The sequence below is a fragment of the Homo sapiens genome, chromosome 3 (assembly GCF_000001405.40).
Source record: "Homo sapiens chromosome 3, GRCh38.p14 Primary Assembly".
Taxonomy (NCBI): domain Eukaryota; kingdom Metazoa; phylum Chordata; class Mammalia; order Primates; family Hominidae; genus Homo; species Homo sapiens.
This window is the reverse complement of record NC_000003.12, coordinates 146,056,503-146,075,114: the sequence shown is the minus strand read 5'-3', so window position 1 is coordinate 146,075,114 and position 18,612 is coordinate 146,056,503. Positions and strand designations below refer to the sequence as shown.

At 33.3% G+C, this 18,612-nt stretch overlaps 1 protein-coding gene and 1 long non-coding RNA gene across 6 annotated transcripts in view; both read left to right on the top strand.

The window, feature by feature from the left end:
• Positions 1-5,675, top strand: part of PLOD2 (procollagen-lysine,2-oxoglutarate 5-dioxygenase 2) — a 91,745-nt gene extending 86,070 nt beyond the window's left edge. For 4 of the 5 annotated variants that reach the window (NM_000935.3, NM_182943.3, XM_047448319.1 and 1 more), the window contains 5 exons: positions 1,763-1,828; positions 2,450-2,554; positions 3,692-3,838; positions 3,948-4,073; positions 4,243-5,675. In NM_000935.3, the coding sequence (NP_000926.2) occupies positions 1,763-1,828; positions 2,450-2,554; positions 3,692-3,838; positions 3,948-4,073; positions 4,243-4,398 (600 nt within the window). In that variant the 3' untranslated portion in view covers positions 4,399-5,675. Of the gene's footprint in view, positions 1-1,762; positions 1,829-2,449; positions 2,555-3,691; positions 3,839-3,947; positions 4,074-4,242 lie in introns of those variants that run through there. The other variant, XM_047448320.1, reaches the window with a different exon arrangement.
• LNCSRLR (lncRNA sorafenib resistance in renal cell carcinoma associated) lies at positions 5,930-8,771 on the top strand. The gene is made up of 2 exons (NR_146297.1): positions 5,930-6,296; positions 8,430-8,771. It is a non-coding gene; the product is annotated as a lncRNA sorafenib resistance in renal cell carcinoma associated (long non-coding RNA).
• The last annotated feature ends 9,841 nt before the right edge of the window (positions 8,772-18,612 follow it).

The window sequence follows — 18,612 nt, the reverse complement described above, 5'->3', positions numbered from 1 at the left end:
TGAGGGTAGAATTCCATATTTCACTTCACCATTGAATCTCTTGGTGTCTTGAGGGATAGAATTATTTGATTTCTTGGGTGACATTAGGTTCCTGGTCAGATATCCTGAATTATATCCTGAATTGTAGATATTTGTGTAAGAATTCAAGTCTTTGGAAAGTAAGCAATGAAAATATCAGAACTGAGTAGGAACAAGTTTTCTTTCCATGGCTTTCTTTGTTAAAGCAGCCTGATTAATATGCCTAGTGAGGGATACCCCATAGCAAAATGCTTATTGATTATCCCATTATCAGAATTTCTAAGAAATTAATAAAGTCACAGTTTGCTCAATGATTTGAAAGGTGATCTAAAATGAAATGTGAATACTAATGCCCTAAAATAAAATCTTAGGGGATTTTTTTTTTTACTTTAACTTGAAGAAAAATCAGTATTGATGCACAGGAAAAATGCTATAGGTAAAAGTTCTTAAATCTTATGGATGATTATTCAATTTCTTGCCACATTTTAGAATCAGAAAGCTAATTAATATTAGAGGGAATAATGAGATAATATAGAAATCTGATCCATATATACTATATAAACATGAAATTTATTAAAATTTTGAAGATACCTTTGTTTCCTCCACATAAAAAATGTTTGAGTTACATATAAACAGATATGCAAAACCAGTGACATAAATTATGGTATAAATATTCAGCCCCTAAAATCTAGCCTCAAAAGATGTATTTAAGGCAAATATCTTTTAAAACATCTTTTGATTGGAATTATTTTGAGTCTGTGTCTCACTTCCTCCCTGCTGGCTCTCTGTATTTGCACTTTGTAAAGAGAAAATTAATAATTTCTAGAAATATTCTAAATTTCAGAAGATATCTTTTTGGATATTTATATTACTCCATGTATTAATAATATTTTAGTAAATATCCATATTTGAATAAAGAACTTGTCCCAATAAAATAATTCTTTAGCTTTTGTTGAAAAAAGTTGAGATATCTTTGTGTGTGGATTTTATGCCAGAGATTGGTCAAAAAGAATCAAATTCATGGATTAGAATAAAGAGAAACCATTTTTTAATATAGAGCCCTAACCCTTAATTTTAGTAACTGAAAGAAGTGCAAGTGCTAGTAAACTCATGATTATTCCTTGATAAATATTAATAACTGAAGTGAAGGCAGAAATTTTAAAAACTCATTTAAAAAATCAAATTTAGAGTAATTTACTATAGACATATAAGACAGACCCTAGTTAATTAGTTCACTAATTCATTTTTACAAATACTTGTTGGTAGAATTTTGCTCCTTGTCTTTTACCTTTAAGCACACCTTTATTTACCTACTCTGTGTATATATTAAAATACTGATGGTCCCCAACTTACGGTGGCTTTACTTAGGAATTTTCAGCTTTATGTTGGATTTATCGGGGTACTGTGTGTTTTTAACCTCCCACGGGTTTATTGGGACATAACCCCATCGTGAGTCAAGGAGCATCTGTAAAATGTGTAAATCTATTCACTGTAAGATTACTTAAGTTTTAAAATCCTGAGGTACAATATTTCATAAATAAAAATTTTGTATTTCATAGAATGACATAAGCATATTCAGAACCAGGCAAAGATTAGGCTATATACTGTGATTTCTGAAAATTACTATTTTGTCCACTATACATAATCATTTATAAGTTGAATAATTTCTAAAATGCATATGCTTTATACTTTTCAGTGAAGTATTTATAAAGATATTTGTTTTAATATGTACTTCTTTTTATAGGACTGGAAGGAAAAGTATATAAACCGTGATTATTCAAAGATTTTCACTGAAAATATAGTTGAACAGGTTTGTATTAATGATTACAAAGTATAGAAAATTTTGCTGTTATTTTCCAGAAGAAATATTATTAATACTACTTTCACAGAAGATGTGAAAGTGGAGAAACTACCTTTTAGGTAAAATTTATTTGATTCAATTACTGATTAAATAGCATTAAGGAACATACAGTTGTAAAATGTAGAACATAGAAATTAACATTTTAAAAGCATGCCTTTTTAAAAAGCATGCTCCTATGTGTCATAGCTTTCTGAAACCACTAAAAATAGAAACTGTTGACAGATCTCTGATGTAGAACTCTTGCAGTGAAAGCTTATCTTTGGAAGAAACTGGGCTGTCTTTCTGGAAGAGTCTTTTCTCAGAGACATCTTTGAAACATGAATTCTCTTTTAGCTTAGTGTTCAAAACTATTGTTAATACCTAATTTTTGAGAATGTAAGATGTCATCAATTCTGAGGTGCACCATTATTTATGTACCATGAGAAAAAAAATACTGTCAATAAACCATGACAGAAAACTATGTTTCCTAGTCATACAGGATTTTTTATTTTACACATATTAAAATAACTATTTTAGACTATTAAGACACAGAAGTTATTATGTCTTCTAACGATGATGCATATTTTATAGCCCTGTCCAGATGTCTTTTGGTTCCCCATATTTTCTGAAAAAGCCTGTGATGAATTGGTAGAAGAAATGGAACATTACGGCAAATGGTCTGGGGGAAAACATCATGTAAGTTGTAATTTCACACTAAGAACTAAAATGTATGTGGGGGTTAAGTAGATACTCAGAGAATTCGGAGGGGTTATATACTTTTTCTCATATGTCTCTGAGTTCTAGACTTAGATAAATTGGCTAGCCAAGGCTCTGATTTCAGTCTACTTCTCCCACCAACCAATTTTTTTAACACTTAAGTAATTTCATTAGTTTGGGCGGGTTTCTCATTTATGCATGTAATTACACTGGATGTTCCCTAAGGGTCGATGTCCTCAGGCCAGAGTTTGTTAGGTAACACATGTCTTTACAGAGTGATGTCACTCTTTTCCAAGGCCACTTTTTATTCCTTGCGTTTTCACAGTGAGCTGTGGTGAAAATTCTAAGGCAAATGTTATCTGGCTCTGAAAACTGTTTTTGTGTGTAAAGATAGGAAGGAGGGATCTGAGTGCCTTAGGTGTAATTCAGTTTTGCATTTGCATTCAGTGTCAAAGACTTGGCAGGAAATACTACTGCCAGTGGTTAGATGTGTTTCTTTCCCTCTGAGAACAGACATGCCATTTTAGCAGAATACTCTGGAATATTACTGCCTCTGCACGGTTATGTCCCCCAGGTAATGAGCTGATAAGGGAGAGGGAAGCTTAAAGTATAAGGAAGAACTTAAGTTAGTGGGTGATGAAATAATGAAAAGCAATCATTCAAAAACTTTTGAGTGTTACAAATAGAAGTGAGGAAGGGCGGGGAAAGCTTGTTTTTAGTGTTTGGTAATACAGACAGCAGATATGCTAAGTGTATGCTCATCAAGCAGCTGAGACTGCCTAAAGGGTCACTGTAAAAAAAGACTCATTTTTAAGAAAGGATGTGAGGGCTTAGGAAGTCAATTTTATTTACTTTATAGCTAAACTTCACATATACATTTAAGAAGTAGGAAAGGAGTCTACTGACCTTACATTACTTTGTTTCGTCATTGTATCATTGACAAAGCTGTTACCTAAGTTATTTTGATAATTTTACAGTTAAAGCAGATGATATACCACATTGGAACAACTGTTATTTTTATTGTCTATTATGATCTGTGGTTGAAAAAAAATACTATAATATAAATGGGAATTGCACGTGGAGTACAGCTTATTATGTCATTAATGTTGTTTCTAGGATAGCCGTATATCTGGTGGTTATGAAAATGTCCCAACTGATGATATCCACATGAAGCAAGTTGATCTGGAGAATGTATGGCTTCATTTTATCCGGGAGTTCATTGCACCAGTTACACTGAAGGTCTTTGCAGGCTATTATACGAAGGTAGTTATCCTCTCACCCCTCCAGCCTATTTCTTACCCATTTTTACACAGGTGTTCTTTTTAATGTTTTTATTAATAAGCAAATCCACTGGCTTACTTTGCTTTTTCAGGGATTTGCACTACTGAATTTTGTAGTAAAATACTCCCCTGAACGACAGCGTTCTCTTCGTCCTCATCATGATGCTTCTACATTTACCATAAACATTGCACTTAATAACGTGGGAGAAGACTTTCAGGTAATTATGACTCTTGTGTTTTTAGATTTTTCAAAAGAAATATATCATTATGAAAAGGACTTTGCCTTAGGCCTTAGTTTCTTTTTTAAATTTTGCTCAAATGACATAATTTGAATTTTGCCACTGGTTAAATATAATCTGATGTATTTCTTCATTTTAACTTTTTTAGGGAGGTGGTTGCAAATTTCTAAGGTACAATTGCTCTATTGAGTCACCACGAAAAGGCTGGAGCTTCATGCATCCTGGGAGACTCACACATTTGCATGAAGGACTTCCTGTTAAAAATGGAACAAGATACATTGCAGTGTCATTTATAGATCCCTAAGTTATTTACTTTTCATTGAATTGAAATTTATTTTGGATGAATGACTGGCATGAACACGTCTTTGAAGTTGTGGCTGAGAAGATGAGAGGAATATTTAAATAACATCAACAGAACAACTTCACTTTGGGCCAAACATTTGAAAAACTTTTTATAAAAAATTGTTTGATATTTCTTAATGTCTGCTCTGAGCCTTAAAACACAGATTGAAGAAGAAAAGAAAGAAAAAACTTAAATATTTATTTCTATGCTTTGTTGCCTCTGAGAATAATGACAATTTATGAATTTGTGTTTCAAATTGATAAAATATTTAGGTACAAATAACAAGACTAATAATATTTTCTTATTTAAAAAAAGCATGGGAAGATTTTTATTTATCAAAATATAGAGGAAATGTAGACAAAATGGATATAAATGAAAATTACCATGTTGTAAAACCTTGAAAATCAGATTCTAACTGGATTTGTATGCAACTAAGTATTTTTCTGAACACCTATGCAGGTCTTATTTACAGTAGTTACTAAGGGAACACACAAAGAATTACACAACGTTTTCCTCAAGAAAATGGTACAAAACACAACCGAGGAGCGTATACAGTTGAAAACATTTTTGTTTTGATTGGAAGGCAGATTATTTTATATTAGTATTAAAAATCAAACCCTATGTTTCTTTCAGATGAATCTTCCAAAGTGGATTATATTAAGCAGGTATTAGATTTAGGAAAACCTTTCCATTTCTTAAAGTATTATCAAGTGTCAAGATCAGCAAGTGTCCTTAAGTCAAACAGGTTTTTTTTGTTGTTGTTTTTGCTTTGTTTCCTTTTTTAGAAAGTTCTAGAAAATAGGAAAACGAAAAATTTCATTGAGATGAGTAGTGCATTTAATTATTTTTTAAAAAACTTTTTAAGTACTTGAATTTTATATCAGGAAAACAAAGTTGTTGAGCCTTGCTTCTTCCGTTTTGCCCTTTGTCTCGCTCCTTATTCTTTTTTTGGGGGGAGGGTTATTTGCTTTTTTATCTTCCTGGCATAATTTCCATTTTATTCTTCTGAGTGTCTATGTTAACTTCCCTCTATCCCGCTTATAAAAAAATTCTCCAACAAAAATACTTGTTGACTTGATGTTTTATCACTTCTCTAAGTAAGGTTGAAATATCCTTATTGTAGCTACTGTTTTTAATGTAAAGGTTAAACTTGAAAAGAAATTCTTAATCACGGTGCCAAAATTCATTTTCTAACACCATGTGTTAGAAAATTATAAAAAATAAAATAATTTTAGAAAGTTTTGTTGTTCTATTATTGGTGTTTATCTTCCAACGTGAATACATGATGGAATTGTCTGAAAGAATGAAGCCTTTGATTTTTCATTTTGCTTAGTAGATTTAATGATATACGAAACTATTGAATTATAAATGAAATTATAAAATCTTCAATTTTAGGATGACTAGGGATTTGATCTAACTCGTTTTCCAAGTGAGAAAATAGAAGCCAAATGTTATTCAATATAGGTTTATTTGTTTATTAATATTTTCTGGGTCTCTATTATGGGTCAGGCACTGTTCCAGGCACCAAGGATATGTTGATGAAGAAGACATTATAGTCACTGTGAGATGGACTTAAAAAGATAAGGAAGTTGGTTCTACTCCTGTTCTCTTCTTTGGCGACACTTAATACCCAAAGAAAATTTCTACTATCCATCAACTAGGATAAGGAGACATTTTAGTAATGATTTGTGAATTATGTTACTGTACATCAGGAATGGTTTTCAAAATATGTAACACCTGGTATGATGTAGATGCCAACTCATCGGAACAGACTCTGGTTATAAAAGCAGATCGGTTCGTTCCTACCAGTGCAAGCCAGCTTAATATCTCTTGTGGTACAGTTCAAAGACATCTCCCAGGTACTAGTTATTTTCCATTTTGGTATCCATGGGTGGTTACTTAGCATAACTATTTCAGTCTCATGCCATGTTTTCAGAAATGGGATCCAGGTAGTCTATTGAGCACAGTTTTTTTGTCTTTCCTCTTATCCTACATTCCATGAAATAATATAAAATGTAGCTTTAAAAAGATGATTCATAATTACTGAGAGAAAATTAGAAAAATTCCCATAAGTAGATTAAAAAATTTGAAAAACGGAAAACGAGTAGAATTGGAAGGATGGAGAAAAATACAGCTTGAAACACACAGAGCAGAAGATACAGAAAGTACATCTATTGTTTGATTCATTCATTTTATGCAATATAATAAAGGCTTTTTAAAAAAAATACACACACACACCCATATATATAAACAATTATCCCCTGAATAATATGGGCGTTAGAGGCACTGATCCCCATGCAGTCGAAAATCCACATGTACCTTTTGACTCCCTCAACACTTATCAACTAATAACCTACTGTTGACTGGAAGCCTCACTGATAACATAAACAGCTGATGAACATTTATTTTATATGTTATATGCATTATACACTGTATTGTTACAATAAGCTAGAGAAAACGTTATTTAAAAAATTATAAAGAAAGATAAAATATATTTACTATTCATTAAGTGGAAGTGGATCATCATAAAGGTTTTCATCCTTGTTGTCTTCGCGCTGAGTAGGCTGAGAAGGAAGGGGAAGAGGAAGGGTGTCTCAGGGGTGGCAGAGACAGAAAAAACCGGCATACACATGAGCCCGCGTAGTTTAAGCACATGTAGTCCAAGGGCTTATTGTGTATCTGCAACAATCAGATATCTCTGACAGATGAACCTGATAAAGTCACACTATTTAGAGTATGATACCATTTATGTTAAAAACAAAATACTATATATGTGTGCATAAACCTACAGAAAATTTCCTAGAGAGGAACAACTCTGGAGAGTGGTATGAGATCACGGAGGAGTAAATAGGATTTATGCCTTTTACGTTTTACACTTGTGTTTTTGAAATATTATAGAAATATATTTGTATATTGATTGTTTAAAGAAAAAAAGACTAGAAGGAAAAGGAGACATTCACGTAACTAATTTGAATAAATGGAAGCATATGGATGTCAATAGTAACCGTGTGTGTGTGCGCATGTGTGTGTATGTGTATACATACATTACCAAGGTGCTTTAAATGCTCACCGTGGTAGAATTTTTTCTAATTCTTAATGCGCATAGGAATCAATATGAATATTTTCCTTAATATAGATACTTCAGTAGTCATCCAGTGCATTAATCTTCATTCTGCTTCATCTTTGAAAACACTAGTAATTTATCTGTATTGGTAACTTAACTAAGAGGTCAAATATCCTTCTATGGAATAGAAATGTGGAAAACAATGAACATATGAGTTGAGTGGTCCATCCTCGTCACAGAATCTCTTTATGTACTCACTTCTGTTTTCCTGTCTGACATACGTATGTCTTGATTTATTTGCTTTTTATGCCCTAAAGCCCATTTTACATGACATGCTGGTAACTTGTCATTCATTTGGAATTTGGAATGGTTATTCAACAGATGTCTTAAAGTTTCAGAAGAGCCCAGTAGAATTTTTAGTCATAATTGAGTCTGTGTAAATAACTCCCTCTGACTAGACTAGAGGTTAACTGTTGCGGAATATTGAAGTCTTCAAGACTTCATGAAAGCAGTGTATCAAACAGAACTGTTTGTTTTGTGGTCTTTTAGAATAGCAAGCCACAGCATTATTTAAGAATAATTATTAACAAAAAGCCATTGGGAAGAAAAATAGGGAAATGTATAAAACTTTTTAATGCAATGAGTTTTGGATTAAAATAGAAGTACACTAAGAAATAATGAGAAGAGAAAATTGTACATGTAGAAATGCTTTAAAAATGTGAAGTATTGCATAATTACATTATTTTGATAAAATAAATTAGACTGGGAATGTAAGTAAACAGGCTAGGGATTTGTGAACTTTATAAGTCTTAAATCTTTCTAATAGCATTTAAAAATGTACGCAACATCACTGTTCATCAGAGAAATGCCAATCAAAACTACAGTGAGATATTATCTCACCCTAATTAGAATGTCTTATATTCAAAAGACAGGCAATAACAAATGCTTGAGAGGATGTGGAGAAAAGGGACCCCTCCACATTGGGACCACTGCTGTTGAGAATGTAATTAATTACAACCACTATGGAGTACAGTTTGGAGGTTCCTCAAAAAAACTAAAAATGGAGCTGCCATATGATACAGCAATTCCAGTGCTTGATATATACCCAGAAGAAAAAGAAATCAGTGTGCCGAAGCAATATCTGCACTCCTGTGTTTGTTGCAGCACTGTTCACAATAGGTAAGATTTGGAGACAGCCTAAATGTCCATCCACAGATGTATGGATATATTTTTGTTTTATTCTTAATATATTAAAATAGATCAGGAAACATTCATTTGGAAAAGTGGTTTCATTCCTGACAGATATTATTGAAGTGGTGGTAATGTTTGTTTATTTAATAATTCAAGAGACGATGAGTTTAGCATGCTAGTCTATCTTCACTGAAATTTGGTTGACTCAAAATCTGAATACTCTCTTTTGAAAATTAGAAGTTTCTGCCTGTTTAACAATACAAAACACAAATAATCAACTGAAAGAATTATTTTAGAAGATATAATGGATGATCCTCTAGTCAATATTGGATAACAAAATAAGGATGTAATGTAACCATTACATTTTGTAATGGTTAATGAATTATTCTGTGATTAATTACAAAATAATTTTGAAAGACATTTTAACACTGGTTTAAAGTCACTAAATCTGGGATCGTGATGTGAAATGACAGAATAATTCTGCATCTACTGAAGACAATTTATATATGATAAAGCTCAATAACTGCTAAGTGAGAACTGGACAAATTAAATGATAGTTTTCTTCTGATAATTAATGTTTGGAGAATTGATTAATTTTAAATAGTGCATATTTGCAAGATGAGATTATCCTATTTTATTAAATTATTTTCGTCTGTATTTACATAGTTTTTGTATCTTACAAATCTTGCCAAATTGTGACATCACAGCTCCACCTTGTGGTCAAAATAGTTAGCTAAATTTAAAGCAAATGCAAGAGCTTTATAAAATCATGCTATCAAATTTTTTCCCAAAGGCTAATACTAATAAAATGATAAATATTGGATGCTTTTATTCAGGAATTATTTATATATTTTTAAGTATGATACAATACAACATTTTAAAAGGAAGAATTGTGACACCTTATTCTGAAATAAGGAGTAGCTAGCATATTTCTAGTTAATACTGTTGAAGTGATTTGTTTTCTGTTTTTATCTAATTTGTAAACTGCTAATCTATGTTCAATAGAGAATATTTACTTGGATTAATAATAAAATAAGCATAAGAGTAGTCAGATTCGACTACAACTGATAAAGCAATTTGTTTAGAGTAGATAAAATTACTTAATTTACATAATATTAAAACAACAGCTCCATAGGGTCCTATTGTAAAAACAAAATTTTAAAAATTGTTCTTTGTTAGGAAAAGGTCAATAGTAATTTTTCTTTATTATCAGTACGGAACTGGTAAGTGCAACAATGAGGACAAGAGTCTTGTAGTAAAATTTGGGTGATTCAGATACTGTGAAAGTTACAATCCTTGTTTTGACTTTTTGAAGATTAACAAAATTTATTCCTGCTGAAGTTATGCACTAAATTAGTTCTAATTTACTCCAGCTGTTGCACATTTACTTACTGACCACACAGCCACGCTGATCACCCTTTTCTTCCTTTGGGTCACTTAGTGTCTTGGCTGCTGGATGAAATCAAGGGGATCTTCAGCTAATGCTAGAGTGGCATCATTGATTTTCATATTGTCTCAGACAGCTTTCCCATTGACCTATGAGCCAAGAGGAGAGGGAATTTTAAAAATATGTGTTTTTGAAACGATTTTGTGCCTGTGATAGCAAGTCGACAAAGATGGTCCTCAATGAACCATGCCTCCCAGTACTCATACCATTGTGAACCCAGGTGGGTCCTTTGTAACCAATAGAATGCAGTAGAAGTGACTGCCTAATTTCCACATTGAGTTATGAGAAGCTTTGTGGTTTTGAGCTCTTGGAACATTTACTGTTAGGGCATTCTCTGTAGAATCCAGGTACCATGCTGTGCCCATGCCACATGGCAAGGCCATGTGCAAGCACTGTGGCCAACAGCTGAAACCAAGCTCCTGCATCAACTTCTACCACATGAGTGAATTATTTGGACATCAGTCCCAGACAAATCCCAGTTCAGATGAATATAGCTCCTGTCAACATCTGCCTGCAACCACATGTGAGACCCCTCAGCCAAGAAACACCCAGCTGAGCTAAGCAAACCCATACAGAACTATAAAAGATGATAATTTATTGAGTCACTAAGTTTCCACATGGTTTGTTACACAAAAATGGATAACTGAAACAGGATTAATTGCCTATAATGTATCTCTAATAGGCTTTCCTTCTCAGAGCACTTTGCATACTGGATTGTTACTTACCTTTCATTCTCCTCAATAAGGCCGTGGGCTCCTTGAGGGCAAGGACTGGGTCTTATTCCACCTTTTCAGTTTTAGCATATAGTCTGGCATATAGTAGGTATTTGTGTGTTAACTGGAAGTTGGTTTTATATCTGAAATTTTATTGTATTTGAATCAAAATGATCCCTGAGGGGGAATAGGTGTTTTGAATTTAAGAGGTAGCCAAAAAATAAACCTATGTGTACTGTAGTTGTGTGAAGTAAAGATGTGTGAAATATTGTACAGTTTGTCCCTGAATAAAGGAATATGTAGGTGGCCTCAAGTTGGATACAGTGATGCACTAAGACAGTATAAAAGGAAACTGCTATCACTGTTATCCTCAGCATTCTGGGCCAAAGGACTGAGAGAGGGAGGGTTCAGTTTATGAGTAATTTGCTTAGTGTATGCTTACTGTGTGTATTTGTATTAAACATTCAATAAGTGTTTCAAATTGAATTTACTTTTATACATCTTAAAGCAGTTTTCTAAAAGGTGCTTTAAAAAGTGTTATTTTATATAGTGACTACAAATTCTATATCTTATCCTCTAAGTTTAAACTAGAAAATAGTTCTAAAATAGAAATATGTGAAGACAGTGGATTTTCAAATGCCAAGGAAAGTGTAGCTTTGATATGTACTGACTCTGGAACTAGTGTTGTTACCCCAGTTACAGATTCGATTGCCCATTGGGTGTGGCCTTTCTTGGTTTTGACCAAATGTCATTTTAACATCTATTCAGTCTGGTCTTAAAAATGTGATAAATAATGGAATGAAAACTTTATAATTTCAGAATTATGGACCTGTAGGACTCTGTTCAAAATATGAATTATTTAGGAAAGTTATAACTGTGATGATGTCAGAAAAAATAGAACTTAGAACCTCTCTTGAGGTTCTTGTGAAGTCCTATTTTTTAATCAATATAGAGGAGCTATTTTTAAAATTGGTAAGTGAATTGCCCAATCTGAGATATTTAAAAGGTACCAAAGAGCAAATTTAAGTGCATAAAGTAATAAGAATTAAGAGGGAGCAATGAGATTCAGGAGTTATGATTAATTATATTTCAAGTAGGTATGTGGAGAATGAACATAAACACATCTAACTTGCCATCTAACTTGCCATTGATTAGAGGGGTTTCATCTAATTTGGGACATTTGTTTTGACATTAAATTTTCTAATCTATTATTTTTGGACAGAATATCATCTACACTGTATTCTAGACAGTTTCATCCTCCAATAGATTTTCTTGCAAATTTTTAATCCAATGTTACATTATTTTTTTAAGTTCTAAAATGAAGACAGAACAAGAATTACAGAACATGTACTTGTCTGTATTACATAATTAATTAGTGTCCTCTCTCAGATGCTTGTAGCCCTGAATCTTAATCTTCATTGAGGGTTTACTTTTGTTGACAGTTACATGTATAGCTAGCTGAATATACGTGGGCTTCCCAGATTTCCTACCTACCAATAGTTAGGTGGGATTATGGAACTGCTTTTGGCCAGTGGCCAATGAATGGAAGTTATGTGGATTACTTGCAAAGCCACACATTTATGAGCCCGTTTTAGAGACCTTGAAGCATATGTATTGAGATGCCTGGATCTCTGAATCACTATTTGGAAGTAAGTTGTCCTTAATAGCTGCTAGGACCACAACAGATTTATACGAGAGAGAAATGAAGTTTTCTATGTTAAGCCACTGAAGTTTCAAGGCTTGCAAGACCGCTTATTTTAACCTGACTAAAACAACAATCACATGTGTGAGAAAAAGATATACACTTTATTAGGAGAAGATGAATTTAGGTTTATGTTGATTTACAAATAATAAAAATCTAGAGTTATCTTAGGATTTTGTGATTTAATTTGTGTCATCGAACAATAGAATCTGAGGACTGGAAGTAGTGTTAAAAGCTATATAGTCCAAAGTCTGTCCTACCTCTACCCTAAACAAATCATCTTTCAGGCTTTCCTGGTTGTTGATCACCCAGGTTTACTTGAAAACTTCATTTAGTGAATGTTCATGAGTATCTGTTACAAGCCCATGTACCTGAAATTACAAACATGATTTAGATATCAACCCTGCATTACAATCTGGTGACAGGCAATTTACTGCATTCTAACACAGAAACAGCAAAGCTTTTCTCATAACTGTAATGAAGACTGTCTTTTGTAACTTCTTTGTAAAGTTTATGTGGGTACACTTGGAAATTATATGAAAAACCTAATACCTTTTAATATGGGTTTATAAAATATTTAACAGCCGTAATCACAACAGTTGCCTCCCACCTACCACCCCTCTATGCCTCACCTTATTACCTTTTCCACATTTAAAAATACCAGATTCTTCACTAGTCTTTGTCTGACCACCCTCACTGCTCCTCCCAGCTGACTGGCTTGCTGATTTTACAAAGTCCTAGTATCAGTATCACTCTCCTCTACATTTGGAATGGTTTATCAACATAGCTGTGGAAGGGTGGTGGCCAGATCTGAACTTAATATGCTAGGTAGTACTAGGTATAAGTGGTATAGAAGCAAAGAGAAGACTCATTCATATTTTGTATTTTTTGCTAATAAAATTAAGTATCAAATTACTTTTGGTGAGGGATGGGCAACTGTATTGTACTGCTGATAATTTGCAGTCAGGAAAAATTTTGTTTTCCTTCTCATAACAACACTGTTAAGCCATGATTCAGTTTACTTTCACATTTTTCTTGAGCCAAGTATAGAATGCTATTAAATTAAATTTTATTGGTTTTAAATTATAATTTTAGCCTGTTTCAATCTTTGTGAAAGCTAATTCTATCACTCAACATAATTAAGTTATTCTCCTCTTGGGCTCGTGCCACCCAAAATGATGAGCTAGCTTTCGACAACTGAGTCTTGGTAATTTACAAAACTGTTCAGAAAGACGAACCAAAATTTGAATGGCTTGCTGTGTTCTGTATAAATTTATAATCGAAAGTCTGATCATGGCTACAGGTTTTTTTTTTTTTTTAACTTGTTCTGTTTTTCAACAAACAATATACTTATTTGCAATTAAATGAAAATAAAGCATTGAATTCTGAAGTTTTAGAGAATGACCTTAGAGATTTTTAGTGGTTGTCAGCCTTAGCCTCCTATTAAAATCATCTGGGAACTATTAAAAGCATTTAATGTTGTGACCCTACCTAGACCTATTAAATTCCATTCTCTGGGGTGAAGCCAGGCCATCAGTTATTTTAAAAGTTCTCCAAGTGCTTCTAATGTGCAGCACAGGTTGGGAGAATCTGATCTAGCTTAGCACTTAAAGGTTATAGTGCTACCACTACATAACACTTCTATATTGAGTTTACTGTAGTATATTAATGGAGCTATCTTAAGTGGAAAATGTCTGATCAATCATTAAATAGCAATCTAAGTGAAATCTATAACTAAAATTTCTATCTGGAAAGACAAAAAGAAAAACCAACTTCTCTTTGAGGGTATGCTATACCCAGAGACTTGGCTAGTGCTAAGGAGGGCATGGTAGACTTCCCGAGGTCACACAAAGAACAAGCAGCTCATGCTTGGTTCTACCCAATAGTCTGAGTCCCCTCAGTCACTCTGTTTTAGCCTCTAAACCACTAGGACGTGATTTGAGAAATTTCATGAAGCCTCAAGGTGTTCTTTCAGGTTATTTGTACAATGGGGAAGAAAATATCTATAGTTCAACCTCTTTCCCATACTCATGACAGATCACCTGGCCTGTGCTTCAGTATTTTACAGATTGTTCATCTGTGGCTGAAAAGCTCTTATCAAAATGCTCTTACTTTTATTGAGCTGATAAAGTTGCCATCCTAACTTCTATCCATTGGTTCTGGCTCTGCCTCCTGGAGGAACACAGACTATGTTGATTGTCTTTTCCCTGTGTTAGCAATGCAGATGGATTGTAATTTTCCTAAATCTGCTCTTCAAGAAAAGATTTCAAGTTTTGAAAACCATATCATCATCCTGTCCTCGGTGACACCTGTTTCTCTCCTTTGTCAACATCACCTTTCACAATGTGTCACCTGGATAGCAGATCGAACAACCTGGCTATAATAGTGGTTCTGATAGCCTCCTTTGATCTCGTCATTGTATTCTAGAAATGAAGCCCAAGATTTTATGTATTTTTACCGCGGTCATACCACGTTGATTTAAAAGATCAATGATTTTCAAGCCAGGCTGGACATTAAAATCACTTGGGAGAGCTTTGAAAAAATATAGCGATATCCTGTTTTACCCTTGATCAATTAAATCAGAATCTCTGGGGATAAGGCCCAGGTACAGTGATTTTTAAAAGTACTTCAATGACCCTAATATGCATCTAAGTGAGTTCTATCCTTAAATGTGGTTTCTCTCAATTTGTAGGTAAATACAATATTTTGTTGTTGTTTGAATGTAAATATCAGGCTTTTGATCTGTTCTAGTTTAATTTTCTGATAATAGTAGTCCCAGAATTTTCAAATGCAATTCTTTAAGATTGCAATGAAGTTAGAACTCTTACGTTACTGTTTATGTCCACAAAATGTTTAGAAAAGTTTGAAAAGGATTTTGAAAAAGATTAACAGTGTTAATATTTCTTATATTGTTGGGTTTATGCATAATATAATTTGGTTAATATGTATCATAAATAAAAGTATTTTAAGATCACATTGTGAACTTGTATCATCATTGATAGCAAATGACATAGCTCATAAGCATGGGATCCAAAATTGGTTTTCCAAATTTAAGGACTTTCCAAGTAAAACAAATTTTAATGCTATGCTCATTGCTTCTCTTTTTATTTAAAACATTGGGTTTTAAGACATAACCAAAATAAACTACTTTTTATTCCTTTGACTTTAGATATCTTTCAGCTGTTAAAAGGAGTGTTGTTTCATAAAGCCTGACAGAAAACTTTCAGTCTCTCTCATCTGAAATTAATCACAGTATTGAATAAGAGTTACCCGGAACAACTGCAATGATTTAAATTTGTGACCCTGGATCATTTGGCAAAGGCATTTTTCCCCCAAAGTTTTTAAGATTGCCTGAGTATTTCAGCATAGTGAATAGAATTTTATAAAAATCAGTGTTATTAGCCATTTGCATAAAAGGCAAGTAGCAACCTTCATGGTATCCCCCATTATTCTTGAAATATTGCATACATTGTTGGTGAGATGATATACAATTCTAAAGGCACTGGTTCATAGGCTAAAGTATCATACATTGATATTTATACTATCTGTCACACTCAAAATGAATTAGAGATAGTCCAAAGGAATAATGTAAATACTATTAAAACGAAGACAAGAAAGGTCAGAAAACACTGAGACAAAGCAGTTGAGAGGCTTATTGTAATTGCACACACACACAAAAAACTATCATTAAGCTCTTTTGATGCCAGCTCAAAAGAAACACAATGGGTTATGTATTTGAGGCCTCCTTATATTTTCATAAAGGCATTCCTCTTAGTTAACCCTCATCTATTCTATGTATACATTAGAACTTCACCAAGAGATTCAGTCTTGCTTTCAACTCTGAGTTCTAATCTTATCTGTGCTTAAGGGCCTCCAGTAGGTCAAGTAACAAGTTAACACCGATGCCTGCCTTGCTTTGACTTTTTCTTTCAAATCTGTTAACATCTATTTTGAGCCAATGGATAAACTGTGTATTCCACTTACTAGAACTGGATTTGTTTTGTTCCTTTTGTTGGAACACTTTCCTAGATATCTTGATTCTCATAGCTGTTACCATAAGACTGAAGTCCTATTAGGGATTTAAAAAGGTCAGTTTTTGCTTTATGAAGATTTCCATTAGCCTTTGACACGCAAAAGATTACATAACAAACCACCTCCAAACACAGTGCTTTAACATGCTGATAATTAATCTTACTGATCTGTGGGTTAGTTAGGTTTAGTTTAGCGAGATTTTCTCCATTACACATCTCTCATCTCCCTCCCAGGGCAAGTGGGCTAACCCCAGCAATGTTTTCCTCATGACAACCTCAGAGGTAAAAGGGGGCAAATAGAAACATACAAGGCCTCTTAAGGTCTAGGCTTGAAACTGGCACATGATCACTTCTACTTTATTCTTTTGCTAAAACAAGTTATATAGCTGAACCCAAATTGAGTGATGGAGAAATACTCTTGGAACTTTTACTAGGAGAAACTGTAAAGTCATATGGCAGAAAATATTGAACCTCGGAGTGTTTTTGGAGGATATAAATTGTTATTTAAATACATTAAAATTTGTGATTTCAATTTAAAAATTAATGTGTTGTCCGGGTGCGGTGGCTTATGCCTGTAATCCCAACATTTTGGGAGGCTGAGTGGGTGGATCATGAGGTCAAGAGATCAAGACCATTCTGGCCAACATGGTGAAACTCTGTCTCTACTAAAAATACGAAAATTAGCTGGGCATGGTGGTGCACGCCTGTAGTCCCAGCTACTCAGGAAGCTGAGGCAGGAGATTTGCTTGAACCCGGGAGGCAGAGGTTGCAGTTTGCCGAGATGGTACCACTGTACTCCAGCCTGGCGACAGAGCAAGACTCTGTTCCAAAAAAAATAAAAAAATAAAAAATAAAAAATAATGTGTTAATGTATTACCAAATTACCATTGTAACATCTACCAGTAAAATGATTTTTCCTTTAGCAATTCATTTCTTTCAAGAAATGCTTGAGGGCCCAGTCAGAAGACTATTTACCTTTTCTTCTGACATAAAACTCACATAATCTTGGGCAATTAAGTTTTTTTCTCAACAAAACTTTTTTTTTTTTGGTGTACAGTTTTAACATAAAGGTAGATTTGTGTAACAATCACTATAATCAGAATATAAACAGCCAAATCACACCAAACAATTTTTTTTGTTGCCCCTTTGTAGTTAAAACTTCCCCTTCCTCATAACACCAACTAAACTGATCTTCTATATAGTTTTGCCTTTTCTAGATTGGCATATAAATGGAATCATACAGTATGTAACCTTTTGAAAATGCTTCTTTCACTCAGTATAATACCTTTGGGAATCAACAGTGCTATTGCATCGATAAATTTTTCCTTTTTATTGCAGAGTAGTAATCCATTACATGGATAAATTACAGATTTAACCCATTTACCTACCAAAGGACATTTGAGTTGTTTCCAGTTTTGAGTAATTACTACAAACAAAATTTTTAGAAACATTCATGTACATGTTTATTGTGACTATAGATTTTCATTACTCTAAAATAGATAGCTAAGAATGATATACTATCCTATGGTAAGTAGCTTCTGTTTTAATTCCACTGTTTGTGCCTTTTTGGATTATTCGAATGTTTTAAGAATTCCATTTTATCTATTACATTTTTGAATATCTTCCCAGTGGCTACTCTAGAGATTACTCTCTCTCTCTTTCCCTCTCTCTCTCTCTATATATATACTTAACTTTTCACAGTTTACTTAGAATTAATATTCCCCTTCATGTTTTAATTGTAATACTTATTAACTCTGTATATTAAACAACCATCCAAAATGTTATAATTTTTGCTTTTAACAATTATACATCTTTTTAAAACTTGGGCATAAAACAGTCTATAATATTCATGTGGATGTTACCATTTGTGTTGCTCTTCTTTCAGGTTTCCCTCTAGTACCTTTTCCCTTCCACCTGAAAAAATTATGCATTTTATTTCATAGTAGATTTGCTGTTGATGAATTCTATTAGTTTTCATTCATCCAAAACCATCTTTATTTCATCTTTGTTTTTTATTGTTGCTATTG